A 14580-nucleotide genomic window follows, 5' to 3' on the forward strand; every position below is an offset into this window, starting at 1 on the left:
TGGCCATAAGAGTCATTTTATTTTGTCCACTTTACAACAGTCTGATATATAAGTAACAAATAAAGGAAGAGATTCTACTAGTTATTCTTATAGCTTTTGTTATAAGCAAATAAAATGAAATCAAAGTTATTTTTATATGCAATGAGTGTAAATAATTGTCTTTTCATTCAAACATCTTCTATACCTGAAAAATATAGTAAGTTATCAAAAAATACCAATGGAGGCAAAGCAAATTTGGGTCAGCAGGCACTGTTCTTACTAAATTTGAACAATGGAGGTTTAGTTATCGAGAAAAACATGACTTGAACTGAGGTCTGGCAGGGGGAGAAAGGCATTTCTGACTCAGGGGAATTTTTGGTGATGTGCTACTGTGTGTAGCTAGTTCTTAAACTCCAAACAGCATGTGTAGCAAAACAGTCTACAATGCACAGATTTGTGGTATTTCTAGGAACAGACAGATGGCTTATCTAGTACTTCCCAACTTTTACGGTAAGCAAGGAAAAACTATTTAAGAGGGGTGTTATCACCTTGCAGGGCCCTAGGACACCGCAGCATATTCTACCAGGGATTAACTAAAATTACCCAGGTTAAAAGAGTTAATATTTATTTTCCTGGCAGGATCTTACTCAGCCATCCATGTGCCATGCTGATAACAATTGTTACTATTGTAATAGTAAGGAAAATACAGGAGTAAAGTTCCTAGGGAACTGCCTAACTAGGAAGTTAGTAAAGGATCTGGACTCTGAATTTGATTTAAAGAAAGAGGAAAACACACGTTGGCTATAAAAGAAATAAATGAAATAACCATTGCTACAACCTTTTTAGCACGGGTACTGTCACGAACATATCTTCTAATGTTAATTAAATAAAATATTTTATTTTTCTACCTTTTGTACTGTCTTTAAAATCATCTTTGACACATGAGTTATTTATGTGGCTCGCTTAGGTAAGAATCTCTTGAGGAAGAGCTGAGATATCCTGGTTCCTTTTTCTGCTTCATTATGATTTGAATGCTTGCACCAAAGCTTCAAAAACAAGGTTGATCCAAATTGGTATTCAGGAAATTAAGTGTACTGTTCAATTCCTATAATTGAATTAGAAGCTGACTCTCTGGATTAGTTCTCTATATACTAGATAGAAAAAGGTTTTTGTGTTAAAAAAAACAAACTGTTACGGTTTACACTGGTGCTGAAAAGAAAGTTGAGAATTCACCACTGGCAAGCATATTACTTGAAAATAAGATTTTCTCAAAGTCTCTATATTTCTGCAAATATTCTAGAGCTAATTCCCACATATAAACTGAGAGTACATTCAGAGGTAAATTTTCAAACTCTATTGATTCTATTGTTTCAGGCTCCTCTCACCTCTCATCTCACAACTCTTCGAACACACAACCCTGCTTGCCTGATCTCTCTGCCTCGCTATTACCCCTTCCCCACGTTGCCAACTCACCTCTATGTTCCCCTCCCATTCTGGCTTATTCTCATTTGGGAGCTGATTAATTTCCAGAAAAGTATCAGCTGATTAAAAAAAAATCTAGAAGTCTTATCTTACAAACTTATCTGTATTTAAATGAATTTTACTTACCCAAACTTAAAAGCATATCTCTCATTTAACAAAGGAGGGTGCCTTTGCTACTCTACTTCCCCACAGAACAGGCTCAGAGTGCCAGCCTTTTGCTTCAGAGTGCCTGTCTCATTATTTGCACTCCCTGTCTTGTGAGTTCAGCAGCTGCATGAGAGAGCAGTTCCACCAGTGTGGGCTTATTATGTACAGATGCAAGCTTTTCATTAGGGGACTAATTGAGATTTGAATAGAATCTTTCAAGGAAATGGGGAAGATGCTAGAAGTTAAGATTTTACATATGTGTTCCATTTGTTAACCTTGAAACATTTAAGGATAATTATTGATCATGAGTTTATAAGAATTTGTAGATCACTGAAAAGGCTTTTAGTTATACATACTATGTTTGTTAGCAATATGGGGCAAAGCAAAAAAGTATGTATATTTTTCAACAGTAATTAATTCATCTTGTGGTATAAAAATCATCCATTTATTAAATTGGGAGTTGAAGAAAGGTGTTCCTATTTTTCCTCCAGTAATGTAAAACATCTATATCCACGATACAATACTGAGTACAAATTCCCAGCATAGTGTGACATGTTTCAGTCTACATATTGTAAATGTAAACTCCACAATTCAGATTTTTAAATTAATTTTTAAGGTGAATAAAATGCAATGCTTTTTTGAGTTAAGAATATTAAAATATATTCTCTAATTTCTAAATGGCAAAAAATAAACTACCAAATTCTAATTTGCCATATGGTATTCTTATTTTTTTCATCAAATATCTACTCAATATTGAGTCAGTATATTTTTTCTGAGATATAGATATTTTGTATTTTTCCAAGAAAACCATGCATAGAATATGCTTCCAAAATGGACTAAAATATTCATTTTCCTACGTTCAGATATAATTTAGGCAAGATATAAATGGATTTTACCTGACAATATGTTATGAATTGTCAAAACTCTTCATCCAAAATAAAACAGACCCATATAAACTATTAACAACAGACTGTGCCTAAAATAAAACTTTAAGGAGATAATTATAAGGGAAGTCAGCCTACCTAATTATACTTATTTTAATAACAAAAAGTACATATAAAGTTTCATTATAATTATATGTCTAAGGTGATATGCTATACAGCTCTTAAACTTCTTTGAAAAATTAACAGGCAATAGAAATCAAATTCTCTTTTCCAAGAAAGAGAATGATCACTTTCTTCAATTAATTTAAAGCCTTTCCCTTTGAATATGAAGTTTATCCTAGTTTCTTTATAACCCAGTAGTGGTTGTAAGAGCTGAGACCTGAAGATTAATTTAGCCGCTAGCCGAGTCAGCCCAATAAACACCTGGAATGGGCTATTCTAGTCGGCAGGAAGATCTGGCCTCCTCTCAGCCTTACTTCAATGTCTCCCCAGCATTTAAATCCAGATGTACACATAAAAGAGAGATTCTGAGATATCCACTAGGCTTATATCTTATGACAAACATATTTTAAGCCTAAGGTAGATGGTACAATTCCAATCCTCAGAAAGACTATCAAAGTGAGACAATACACATGACTATTTTAAATTAAAAATAACAGTAGGGGAAAAAATAAACAAACAGCATAAGAATCTAACCTGCTATGTGTTTCTGACAGTTTTAGTACTTACTTTAGTATTGTCAATTTGACAGTTTCATTTTCTGACAATATGTTGTTTGCTTAAATGTGATAAATGCAGCCTTATTGGTAGAGGTGGGGGACAGATGGAAAGGCACCTCTATGAACCACATTAGTCCTTTTTAAGACTTTTTTTGTAACTGTTTTTGATGGTCTGTCAAGCAGTTTGACACAGTAGTCTCTTCAGGGCATGTTTATTTGCATATATTAGGTCCCTTAAAAAAATACATAAGGAACGCTTATAAACCCAAAGCTTAAGCTAACACTTAATAGGTACTTACTATGTGCTAGGCACTCAGCTACATAAATCTGTATCAATTTGTCTTACACCACCAGATCCTTCAGAAACTCTTTGCTTAGAGGTCAATTAAATCTTCAGCTATGTACAAAACTATCACATGCCTTGGGTAAAGTATGGGCATAGGAGCATAGAAATTACTGTGTCCTTGGACTAAGAATAGAGATTCAAAGGACAGGGATGTAGAAAGATCAGAAAAGATCCTGAAAATGAAACTGAAGAAAATGCCACAATCCTGAAGCCCAATAAAATAATGAAGTAAATAAATTTTAGTGTGTAGGCTGAGGCAATGGAAGAGGAATAAGTAAGGGATTATTATGATTTTTCCTGAAAGGATATGAGCTGGAAATGTGCGTTCTTGAGTACACCGAGGTTGGAGCAGGAACAGGATCTCGAGGTGTATAATGTTAACAAGATTCTTTGTTTTCTATCTTGGGTCTAATTAGCTTAAACTCAGCTATCAGGGACCATACAGAATAGGGAAAATGATAGCATGCTAATAAGCTGAGTTTTGTCATTGTGGAGCCCTATATCTTATTGCTAGAGATTGAAGCCCAGTATTAATATTAATATTATCTCTGTGAATTTTATAATAGCTTTATCAAGTAGGTACCAACATCCTCAATTACAATGAGGAAACTAAAGGTCAGCAAAAATAATTTACTTGTCTGAGGTCACAGAGCTGGTTCTTAAGTCACAATTTAAGTAATCTGTTCTTTCTAGCTCAAATCAGATGTTGTTTCTATTACAACAGGACTAAATCATGTCAGTAAATGCCATTATCAAATGTTCACATGTTGAAATATGGGATTTTAAAGAACTGAAAAAATTTAAACAGTCTGATAATTAGAACAAACATTTAAAAAAATTACTCCTGGTATATATAGACAGTCTTACTCAATGGAAGTGTGAATGTTTAAGTAAAGGGTTTTCACAGCATTTTACTATATCAGGGTTCTGTGAAAAATTCAATATCAAACAATTGAAAGAGGAAGAAGTCTGTCTCAGGTTACATTGTATTTTCAATACAAGAAGAGGAAAAATACATAGAAGTTTAAGAAAATGCAGAAATGTATGTAAATGTGGAGAAGCAAGCTCTCTAAGGAGTCAAAGGTTTACAGAGAACAGGTTAGCACATAATCCAACAAGTTCATTGTAGTGTGGAGAAATGAAAACCATGTGACCTGAACACATTCCTAAACCCCATGGAGCTTTGGTCCCTCCATAAAAAGACATTGGACTAGCCTATCATTAAGTTCATTATAACTATTAAAATTAAAAATCAAGTACTATTAATTTTATGTCTTTTATGGCACAAATAAATATTTTCTTCAGAAGGACCTTAGTGGGTCATGCAAGAACCCACAATAAAAGAATTACTCTCCAATTTGCCCTTCCTTTGGATGACTTACTTTCTAGATAACAAGAATACAATAAGTAATATTCCTCATCATTGGTATAATTCCTAACCTCCGTCAGTGTTACAGTTAGTAATTTAAATACTCGATAGCAAAACCTATGGACTTCTTCAGCAATGGAAAGACCTTATTTTACTTTTAATGCATCTGTCTGCATGGTCTCAAAACTCATGACAAGTTTTTGCATATATTTGATCTTTAAAAAATCATGTAACGACTGCATCTACTTGCAGTATCCTCCATCACACTGAACAGCACCTCCTCCCCTCCCCTTCCACATTCAATTTGTAATCAAGACCTTTCATCTTCCAAATAACTCTTGATTCCATCTTCATCTACCATGAAGCCATCATCCATGAACTGGGCTACTGCCCAAGCCACTAAAAGGATCTGCCAACATTTACATCTATCATATTTCCCTCTAATCTGATCTCTGTGCTTTCACCAGAGTGATTTTTAAAAAATGTAAATGTGATCACCCCTCATCCATGCTTAAAGCTTTAAAGATGTATCATGGTTCTAGGATAAAAACAAAACCTCTCAATGAGGTCTCCAATTCATGCAGTGGTCTTCATCTTAGCTGCACATTGAAATCACTTGGAAAGCTCTTTTGAAAATCCTAATGCCTGGACCCCACCCTGGAGATGTTTATGTAATTGGTCTGGAGTGGGGCTGGAGAGCAGATTTTTCAAAGCTCTACTTAGAGCTCCCCTGTGCTACCAGGGTTAACAGCCAGTTCTCTAGAGCTGCACTGTCCAGCATGGTAGCCACTCACCACAGAGATTATACTCACTGACATAAAATTTAAAATTATAATTCCATGTTAAATGACGTCATTTTAAAATGAGATACAAGAAACACTTGTAAAACATTTTCTAAAACATGGTATTAGAAATTACCTTTACTCAGAAATAAGGTTAATTTTAACTTCTCATCAATATCATGACATTCTTTTTAGAAGAATAGATTCAGATATGATAAGTAAATTTTGGTGTTAAAATTACAGTAGGAGGTGGTAGAAGTCAGAATGCTCAATTATGTCTGAAGTCCTTTTTACCAAAAGCTATTGGTAAAATTAGATTAAAAATAAATGTGTTTTAGCCAGAAAAATATCCCTGAAACAAGGCTTGTCATCTTTTAAAAATTTGCATCAACACAGTCTTCTGCTTATTATCACTTTTAAGTAATGGTCATTTTAAAATAATATATCTTCTTATTAAATGTCTCTAATTCTGTTGGTGGTGATTCCACATCAGTGTGGCTGGATTTAAAAATGGTTCTGGTGACCTTGAAAATCAGATGTTCTCACCCTCTAGGATGGTAGAGTCCCAAGGATCTTTTTCAGTATTAGGACTATATACAATGAGCTTGGAGAGCAAAAATAAATCCTAAGGCACTGGACTTCCCATAGATTTTCCCATTTTGTCATTAGATTAGAAAATAGTGACTTCTTGAAGGTGACACATCTAGGAAGAGGTGAAGCAAAGATAGAATCAGTCTTTCCATCCTCTACTATGGTAGTCTTTTCAGGATACCGCCTTGCATCACCAATGAGAGGAATGCATATTTGTCAACAGAAAGCATTATAAACCATATCCACTTAATTTTATTGCAGAGATGTTTGATCTGATCAACAGGCTATATCATCATATAATTATTACAAGTAAAAACCTTTAATAATGGAAAATATGGTAATAAAATTTCAAGAAACTATGATCTATAACACTAATTGTTCCACATAATTTGTCAATGGCACATTGATATGTATTTTTCTCTCTCTTTCATATTTCTATATCTAGTTTTTAAAGAGACTTCTGATTCCTTGAAAGGGAGAGGCTATCTTAAGGATCTTTCGTATTTTCTGCAAGCCAGTCCCAAACCAGGCATATAACAGACATACTGTAAGTCCTTTTATAAATGAAAACGATGAATTCAGAAAAAGGATGCTTACTAGATTGCCAATTTCTGTATATTAACAATAAATATTATAAAGAGTCTTTTAACTAACATGTTTTCATGTTTTCCCAGTCTAAGATAGAAACAGCTTCATATAAAGAAATTAGTTTAGTCTAATGTTCCCAGAATTATTTTTATAATAAGCTGTATCAAATATAATACATAGTTACTTGAATCTCAATATATATCTATGGAAAATATCAGATGAGTTTTTCAGTTGCCCTTTGACACTCAGAGACATTTGAATGCTAGAAAAACATAATTTGCAGCAGTATTAAGTCACTGAGAACAGATGAGAGTTCAAATAGGATCTGTTTTATCTTTTCACGGAGTAAAGATGCTAAAAATAGCATGGGCTTAAGCTTGGGCTACAGTTTTGTGAAATTGCTATCACTTCACTGGAAAATGGAGGAAATGAAACAAGACTGTTTTAGGGGGCCTCCTGTAGGAGATGGACTGGCACTCACGTACCAGCCCTTCAGAGCTGTTACACCAAAGGCCTTTTACAGCTGATAGCTAAACCTAACACTAAGTATGATCTAAATATACAACACTTCATTGTACTTCTATTACAGTATGCAAATACAAATAAAGTTACCACAAATTGGCGAACAATTAATGAGATTCATTGCAGGGATATTTCATCACTGAATGCTGTTTTCCTGCCAACTGAGACATGATGTATTTAATTCTAAATGACACCACCTGCTCCCACCTCTAAGTGAAATGAAAAAGCTGCCAAAGGGCATGTTGGGAATTAACTTGCAGGCTTCCTTTTAATCAGGCATTTCTCCATAACACTGAAAGCCAAAAACATAACATAATGAAAAATAACACAGCTTTGTAAGTCAATAGTTGAATTTGGAGTGCTTGTCAAATAAAAGAAACTTGGGATACATAGCATGATATTCCACACAATAGTATTCTTTTCTTGCTGTGAAATTACTTTCTTACTCTAAAGCAGGAAAAAAGAAAAAAAATACAATTTTATCTGACATGACAAATCAATAAGAAGTGACTTATAAGGGAGAAAACTGAAGGGAATGTTTTCATTTGTCATAGTTACCATGATAATGACACTGTGAACTTAAAGAGTGTCTTTTATTTGAGAATCTGAAAGTGCTTCCCAACCCTTAATTCATAATGTTGCAATATACCCCCAGTGAAGTATTAACATGCTGTATTGCACATTTTCCTAATAGGTAAGATGAGTTAGTGTATGGACAGGTATTTTATAAAGAACCTTACAAAGCTTTTCTTGAAGCTTTTATCTCTTGATTTTCAGTCCTCTCTCCTGAGCAACTGAACTGCTACTCAATGTGATCAGTTGAGGGTAGAGGAGGGCTTACGCAGTTGCTTTATGCCAATTTCTTATCTCAGGAGTCTGTCAAATAAGGATCCACTTCAGAAATAATCAAGTTGCCAAGGACAATCTTGGTACTAGAAAATATATAATTCTCCCAAATTATTTTCCCATTAAGTCTTCTGCTAATCCCCAGGAGTCTCAAAGTGACACCCTAATTAAAATGTGAAGTCAAAATCACATTTGAATTAAATTTGTAAAATAATTTTGAGGGATGCTAAGCCAAAACAAAAAGATTCCTATTTAATTCATTCCACAATCATTCATTCACCTAAAACATTTTTCTGAATACGCTTTATATGTCAGGTCCTAGGTACTAGGAATAGGTCAGTGAACAAGATGGCAAAATCCTTGCCCTCATAGGGTTCACATTCTGATGCACTGATAAGAAATAAATGAATAAATGGTAAAGTTCCAGGAAGGACAAAAAAAACAGATTAAGAGAATGGAGTAGGCTCTTCTACATAATTAGTTAGAGAAGGTTTCTTCAAGGAGAAGAATACAGGTCTATATGAGGAAAGGGAGGGAACCCAGCATACATCATTTACACTGCATGCCTTTCCCTCCTGCCTGCTCAAGGACTTTGCTCCTGCCGATATCCCCGATCATTATTTACTCCACTTTCTACTTTTTTTCCCCACTAGTTTACAAATACGCTCTAAAGTCTTCCAGCCTAAAAAAAAATAACACCCTCCTTTGACCTAACATCTCCTCTAAAAGTCATTACTTTCATCTACTTCCCTTTACAGCCAAACTCTTCGAAATAGATGTTCACACTCAAAGTTTTATTTTCCTTTCATTTGTTCTTGAACCCTCACTAAGCTGGGTTTGAGCTTCACAACAAGGAAGTACCTCCTAAGGGTCATCAATGACCTTCAGATTGACAATTAATTCTCAGTCCACATCTTATAATAGCACGTGATGCAGTGGATTTAAGCTAATGTAAATACTTGCTTTTCTTGGCTTCTAGAACACCACTCTCTTAGTAGCACTGGCTACTTATCTCAGTCTTTTTGGATGACTCCTTTTCATCTTCCTGAGCCTGAACATTGAAGTGCTCCAGGGCTCTGTCCTTGGACCTTCTTTTCTTTACTTATACTCACTCTGCCTCATCCAGCTCCGTGCTTTCAAACAGACAAGTGGCTTCCAAATACATCTGTAGCATAGAACCCTCTTTAATCATATATCCAACTGTTTATTTGACATCTCCACTTAGTCGTCTTATAGATATCACAAATACAACAATGCCAAAATCGAATTAATTTTGCGCTCCGATGCACACCTGCTATTCTCACAGCCTTCCCCATGATGGTGGATTGTGTAGTCCAAAGAGGGCTGCCACAATATTTCCCATCTTGCTTGCTCTTCTTGCAATGTGACCTTGACATGTCTCCCATCAAATGGTAGTACATCTGTTTCCTATCCTTGATTCCGTGTGAACCTTTGTGACTGTCTCATTCCATAGAGAATAGTGGAAGTAAAGTTATGTGATGTCTAAGACTAGATCATGAAAATGCAATTCCAATTGGCTCTCTTGGGTCAGTCAGTCTTGGAACTTAGCTGCTGTGCTGTGTGGAAGTCCAAACTCACTTGCCTGGAAAGACGACCTGGGGAAGCTGTGTGTAGGTGTTCCAGCTGACAAACTAGCTGAAGTCCTAACTAAAAGCAAACATCAATTGCCAGACATGTGAATGAAGACACTTCCAGATAATTCCAGTCTCTCACCACTGAGTGAACCCCAGGCTTTGGGTCTTCCCAACCAAGGCTTTAGATATTGTCGAATAGAGGGAACAGACAAGATGCCCCTGCTGTGTCCCATTTGAATTTCTAACCTATCAAACATGTGAGTAAAATAACATGGCTGTTTTATGACACTAAGTTTGTTATGATGATGGTAAATGGAACAGATTTACCAGTTGCTCAGAACAACTTGTACTCATCTTTAGCTTCTCCCTGTTTCTCATACCCACCTTAAATCTGTTAGCAAACCCTATGAAGTCCAGCTCTTTCTTTGAAATACATCCAGGATCCTACGACTTCATACCATCATATCTTTTGTCTGGACTATTGCAGTAGCCTCTTAGCCTTCATGTTTTCACCTTCCCTCCCTTATTGTCTACTCTCAACACAATAGAAAGAGTACTTCTCTAAAAGTATAAATCAGTTATGTCACTTCAATGCTCAAAACTGTCCAATGGCTTCCTTTATGATATAGATTAAAAGCTTAAGTCCTTAATGGCCTAGAAGGCCCTTCATCCTCTGAGCCTCCACCACCTCACTGACCTTATTTCCTACCGTCCTCCCTGCCTGACATGTTACATCCTAGGCATACTGGTGCCCTTGCTCTTCCCTAAAAACACCTGGCACACTCATACCTCAGGGCCTTTGCATTTTCTATTCCTTCTCCCTGGAATGTACTTACCCCAAATATTTATGTGGCCACTCTTTCATTTCCTCCAGGCTTCTACTCATGAGTCACTTTGTTAGGTATTCTCTAAACACTTTCCATAAAGTAGCACATCTTATGCCCATGGATCTTATTCTTCTAATTTTGACTTACCATTACCTGAGTCCTTATACATTTGTTAATTTATGTTCTGTCATCCTCCTGTAGGATGAAAGCTTGCTAAGGATATAAACTTTGTCTTGTTGAAAGCTCTAGTCACTGGGCCTACAGTAGTCTCTAGTGCATAGCTCCATAAATATTCCTTATTGTTAAAGGCCATACAAGCAGAGGGGAGAACAAGTAGAAAGGGCTGAAACAGAAACCAGCCTGACTTGCTTGAGAAACAGTATAACTGGGACAGAATGAAAATGGGGGAGAGTGTATGTGACAAGGTCACAGAGGTAGCCAAAGGTTGGATCATGTAGGTCTTCAGAGGCTAAGGCAAAGACTGATGGAAAGAAACTGAAGGGCATTTGATGTGATCTGAGTGGCATTTTTAAAAGATTATTCTGGATTTTCTGTGGATAATTGTCTATATGAAGAGCAAGAGAGGAAGAAGCATCAAGGGGACCAGTCCAGAGGCTTTTGCAGTAATTCAGACAAACAAGAGATCATGGTGGCTTGAACTGCAATGGTAATGACAGAGGTACCTAAGGTGGTCAGATACAGGATGTATCTACTTTTCAACGTAGAGCTGAACAGACATGATAGCTTGGTTATAAGACAATGAGAGTAATCAAGGATGGGTTCCAGATTTTTGGCCTGAGCAAATGGTTAAACAGTGGTACAGTGGGGCCACTTCGGAGTAGGTTTACTTTAAACAAGGGTCCTATTTTAATATGATGAATTCAGAGCCGGCAAGCAAGTCCCAGAGCAATGTTCAATTGTACTATGGTTTAGTCAAACTAAAGTTCCAAAATTCAGTGAGTAAATTCTTTGATTCTCAGAATGTCTGGGCACTGAACACAGTAGCTGAATTTGAATAAAAATATGCAAAGAGACCAATAATGACACCTCACATAAGAAATACCTATGTGTGCCACTGTCTTGGAGAAGCACCCCTGACACCTGCACATACAGATGGCCTAACTGGGCACCCTGAAAACTGACAGACTTGGTATTTGGCAGGTGAACCATCAAGAAAATTCCATAAACACAAACTTCTGCCCATGAAAACATAGCTCTTCATAACATTTACAGATACTGGGGGGAAAAAATCACACTAAAAATCACAGTGAAAGGCTAAACACCACCACTCAAGTAAAGAATGAAGTACTTGCATGCCTTTCTCCCAACATGCACATAATAGAAAAAGAATTTGTAAGACAGTTGATGACTAGGATCATTATGGAATGTAAAATAATGAAACATTGTAAGTATAGCTCTTAGGGAGCAGCCTTTAAAATGGGTTCCACTGGCTTGGTGCTATCCAAGCAGAAAAGGCAAGCTTACCTGACTATCTCTACTCTTCCATAAGCCAATAACCCTTTAAACATATTTGTCACTCAGTCTCTTTAAAATATTTTGCCAGGGATTTTTCTTACCCTCTCCCCTAAGGGCAGAAATGAGAACTATTACTGTGTTATCTTTAATGATAATTATTCTGACATACATATATTTTAACATATGAATCCTTTAGATTTTTATCCTACCCATTTTTGAGATTTTCAGGGACCAGTAAGCAAAACAATATTCCTCTTTCTCTCCTAATTTGGAACCAACTGTGTGATGGATAAATAAAAGATCAAAATGCCAGCTTTATTACTAATAAAGTTGATCAAAGAACATGACTCAGAGGTACCACCACAGTAAGCCCCCTAATACCTTCTAATACTCCTGAATTTAACAATTGCCAGATGCTCTCTGAGAGGAGACCCTAGCCTGAAAGCTCACTGAATACAGAAGCAGAGAATGTGTCCAGCAGACAGGAGCCAGAAGGATGATCTGAGCACCATCATTTCCTTCTCTGAAACTCAACTATCAGAGAAGTCACTCCTCCTGCCCTGGAAAGGGCAAATGATGAGGTGGAGAGAAGCAGGGGCATGTCTTCCTCACATGGTTTTCCCTCCTGGAGAGCAGAGTAGAAATGATCTCCCTCTATGAGAACATGGAGTTGAGAATAAATATTCTTGCATCTTACCCTTCAAAGTTGGGCAAGGGAACTAATTTTATCTACAGTCAGAGAACTGGATTTCTACCTATCATCTATGTACACTTCATTTTTTCATTATTCCTTATATACATGAATGAGGTAGCTGGTGGCTATTGGGCACAGAGAGAGGCAGACAGGTTTGACACGTGCACCCTCTACCCTTAGCTTGTTGAATTTAGCTAATAATCTAACTTCTCAGAATCTAATTTTCTTACATGAAAAGGGATTATACATACTTACCTCCTAGAGTTAGAATTAAATGGAAATAAATGTGAAAGGACTGGCATACAGGTACTGAGTTGATACCATTTTTTTCCCTTCTCTAAGTCTTATTCAGTACTAGTTTAGAAATTAAAATCTGTATGAAATCAAACCCTGTAAGTTTTTTCCAGACCCTGCCACTTGGTTGATCTCTTGATAGTCACTGAGACTAAACATCCGGCTTTTCTGGCCTTTAAAAAAATTTTTTAAGTAGACTTTATTTTTTAAGCAGCTTTGGGTTCTCAGTAGAATTGGACAGAAAACACAGAGAATTCTCATATACTTCGATCTCCCCCACAGTACAGTTTCTCCCACTAACAATGTCTTTCACGCTGCTTGCACTGCAGTGGTACATTGATTATTCTTCCATGAACCTTTTCTGACACATCATTATCTCCCAAAGTCCACAGTTTACAAAAAAAGGTCACTCTTAATGTTGTACATTCTAGGGGTACATTCTATTGACACACATACAATGAATGACATGTATCCACCATTATAGTATCATACAGAGGAGTTTTGGTGCCTTAAAGATCCTCTGTGCTCCACCTAGTCATCTCCCCCTCCCCCAGCCCCTGGCAACCATACAATGAAATCTTATTCAGCCTTAAAAAAGAATGTCCTGCCACTTGCAGCAACATGGATAAAACTGGGGGGCATTGTGCTATACGAAATAAGCCAGACACAGAAAGAAGGAGACTGCATGATCTCACTTACACATGGAATCTAAAAAAGTTGAATACATAGAAACAGAGAGAAGAATGGTGGTTACTGGGGTGGGCAGTTGGGGAAATGGGGAGAAACTGGTCAAAATGTATCCAGAAATCACCCCTGAAGAACTTATCCAGCTGAGCGTGATGGCTCACACCTGTAATCCCAGCACTTTGGGAGGCCGAAGTGGGTGGATCACTTGAGGCCGGGAGGTACAAACCAGCCTGCCCAACATGGTGAAACTCCGTCTCTACTAAAAACCTCCAAATTATCCTGGTGTGGTGGCATGCCCCTGTAATCCCAGCTACTTGGGAGGCTGAGGCACGAGAATGGCTTGAATCTAGGAGGTGGGGGTTACAGTGAGCCGAGTCCACACCACTGCACTCTAGCCTGGGCAACAGAGCAAGACTCTGTCTCAAAACAAACAAACAAACAAACAAACAAACAAAACAACTTAAAAGAAGTTATCCATGTAACCAAACACCATCTCATCCCCAAAACCCTATTGAAATAAAAATAATAAAAATTTTAAATTAATTTGAACTAAAAGAAATCAACAAAAATGCACAATGCCACAGTAATAAAAACTTGTATCTTCTCTAGAACAAAAAAAAAGTATAAAGCTGCAGTTATGTAGAATGAGTAAGTCTAGAGATGTAATGTATAGCATGATACAGTTAATAATCCAGTGCTGTATACTGGAAATTTGCTGAGAGAGTAGATTTTAGGTGTTCTCACCACATACA

The 14580-nt window shown here is 36.7% G+C and overlaps 1 protein-coding gene across 18 annotated transcripts in view; it reads right to left on the bottom strand.

Annotated features, from left to right (window-relative positions):
* The window catches only part of IMMP2L (inner mitochondrial membrane peptidase subunit 2), an 899849-nt gene that overhangs the window by 116525 nt on the left and 768744 nt on the right, over nucleotides 1–14580 (bottom strand). For 6 of the 18 annotated variants that reach the window (XM_017012701.2, XM_017012700.2, XM_017012702.2 and 3 more), the window contains one exon: nucleotides 1–14580. This exon is cut by the window's right edge and continues 41987 nt beyond it. The exons of the other annotated variants lie outside the window; for them this stretch is intronic. The gene's annotated coding sequence lies outside the window, so the exon portion shown is untranslated. 18 annotated transcript variants of the gene reach the window in all.

The sequence above is a fragment of the Homo sapiens genome, chromosome 7, assembly GCF_000001405.40.
Source record: "Homo sapiens chromosome 7, GRCh38.p14 Primary Assembly".
Lineage (NCBI taxonomy): Eukaryota > Metazoa > Chordata > Mammalia > Primates > Hominidae > Homo > Homo sapiens.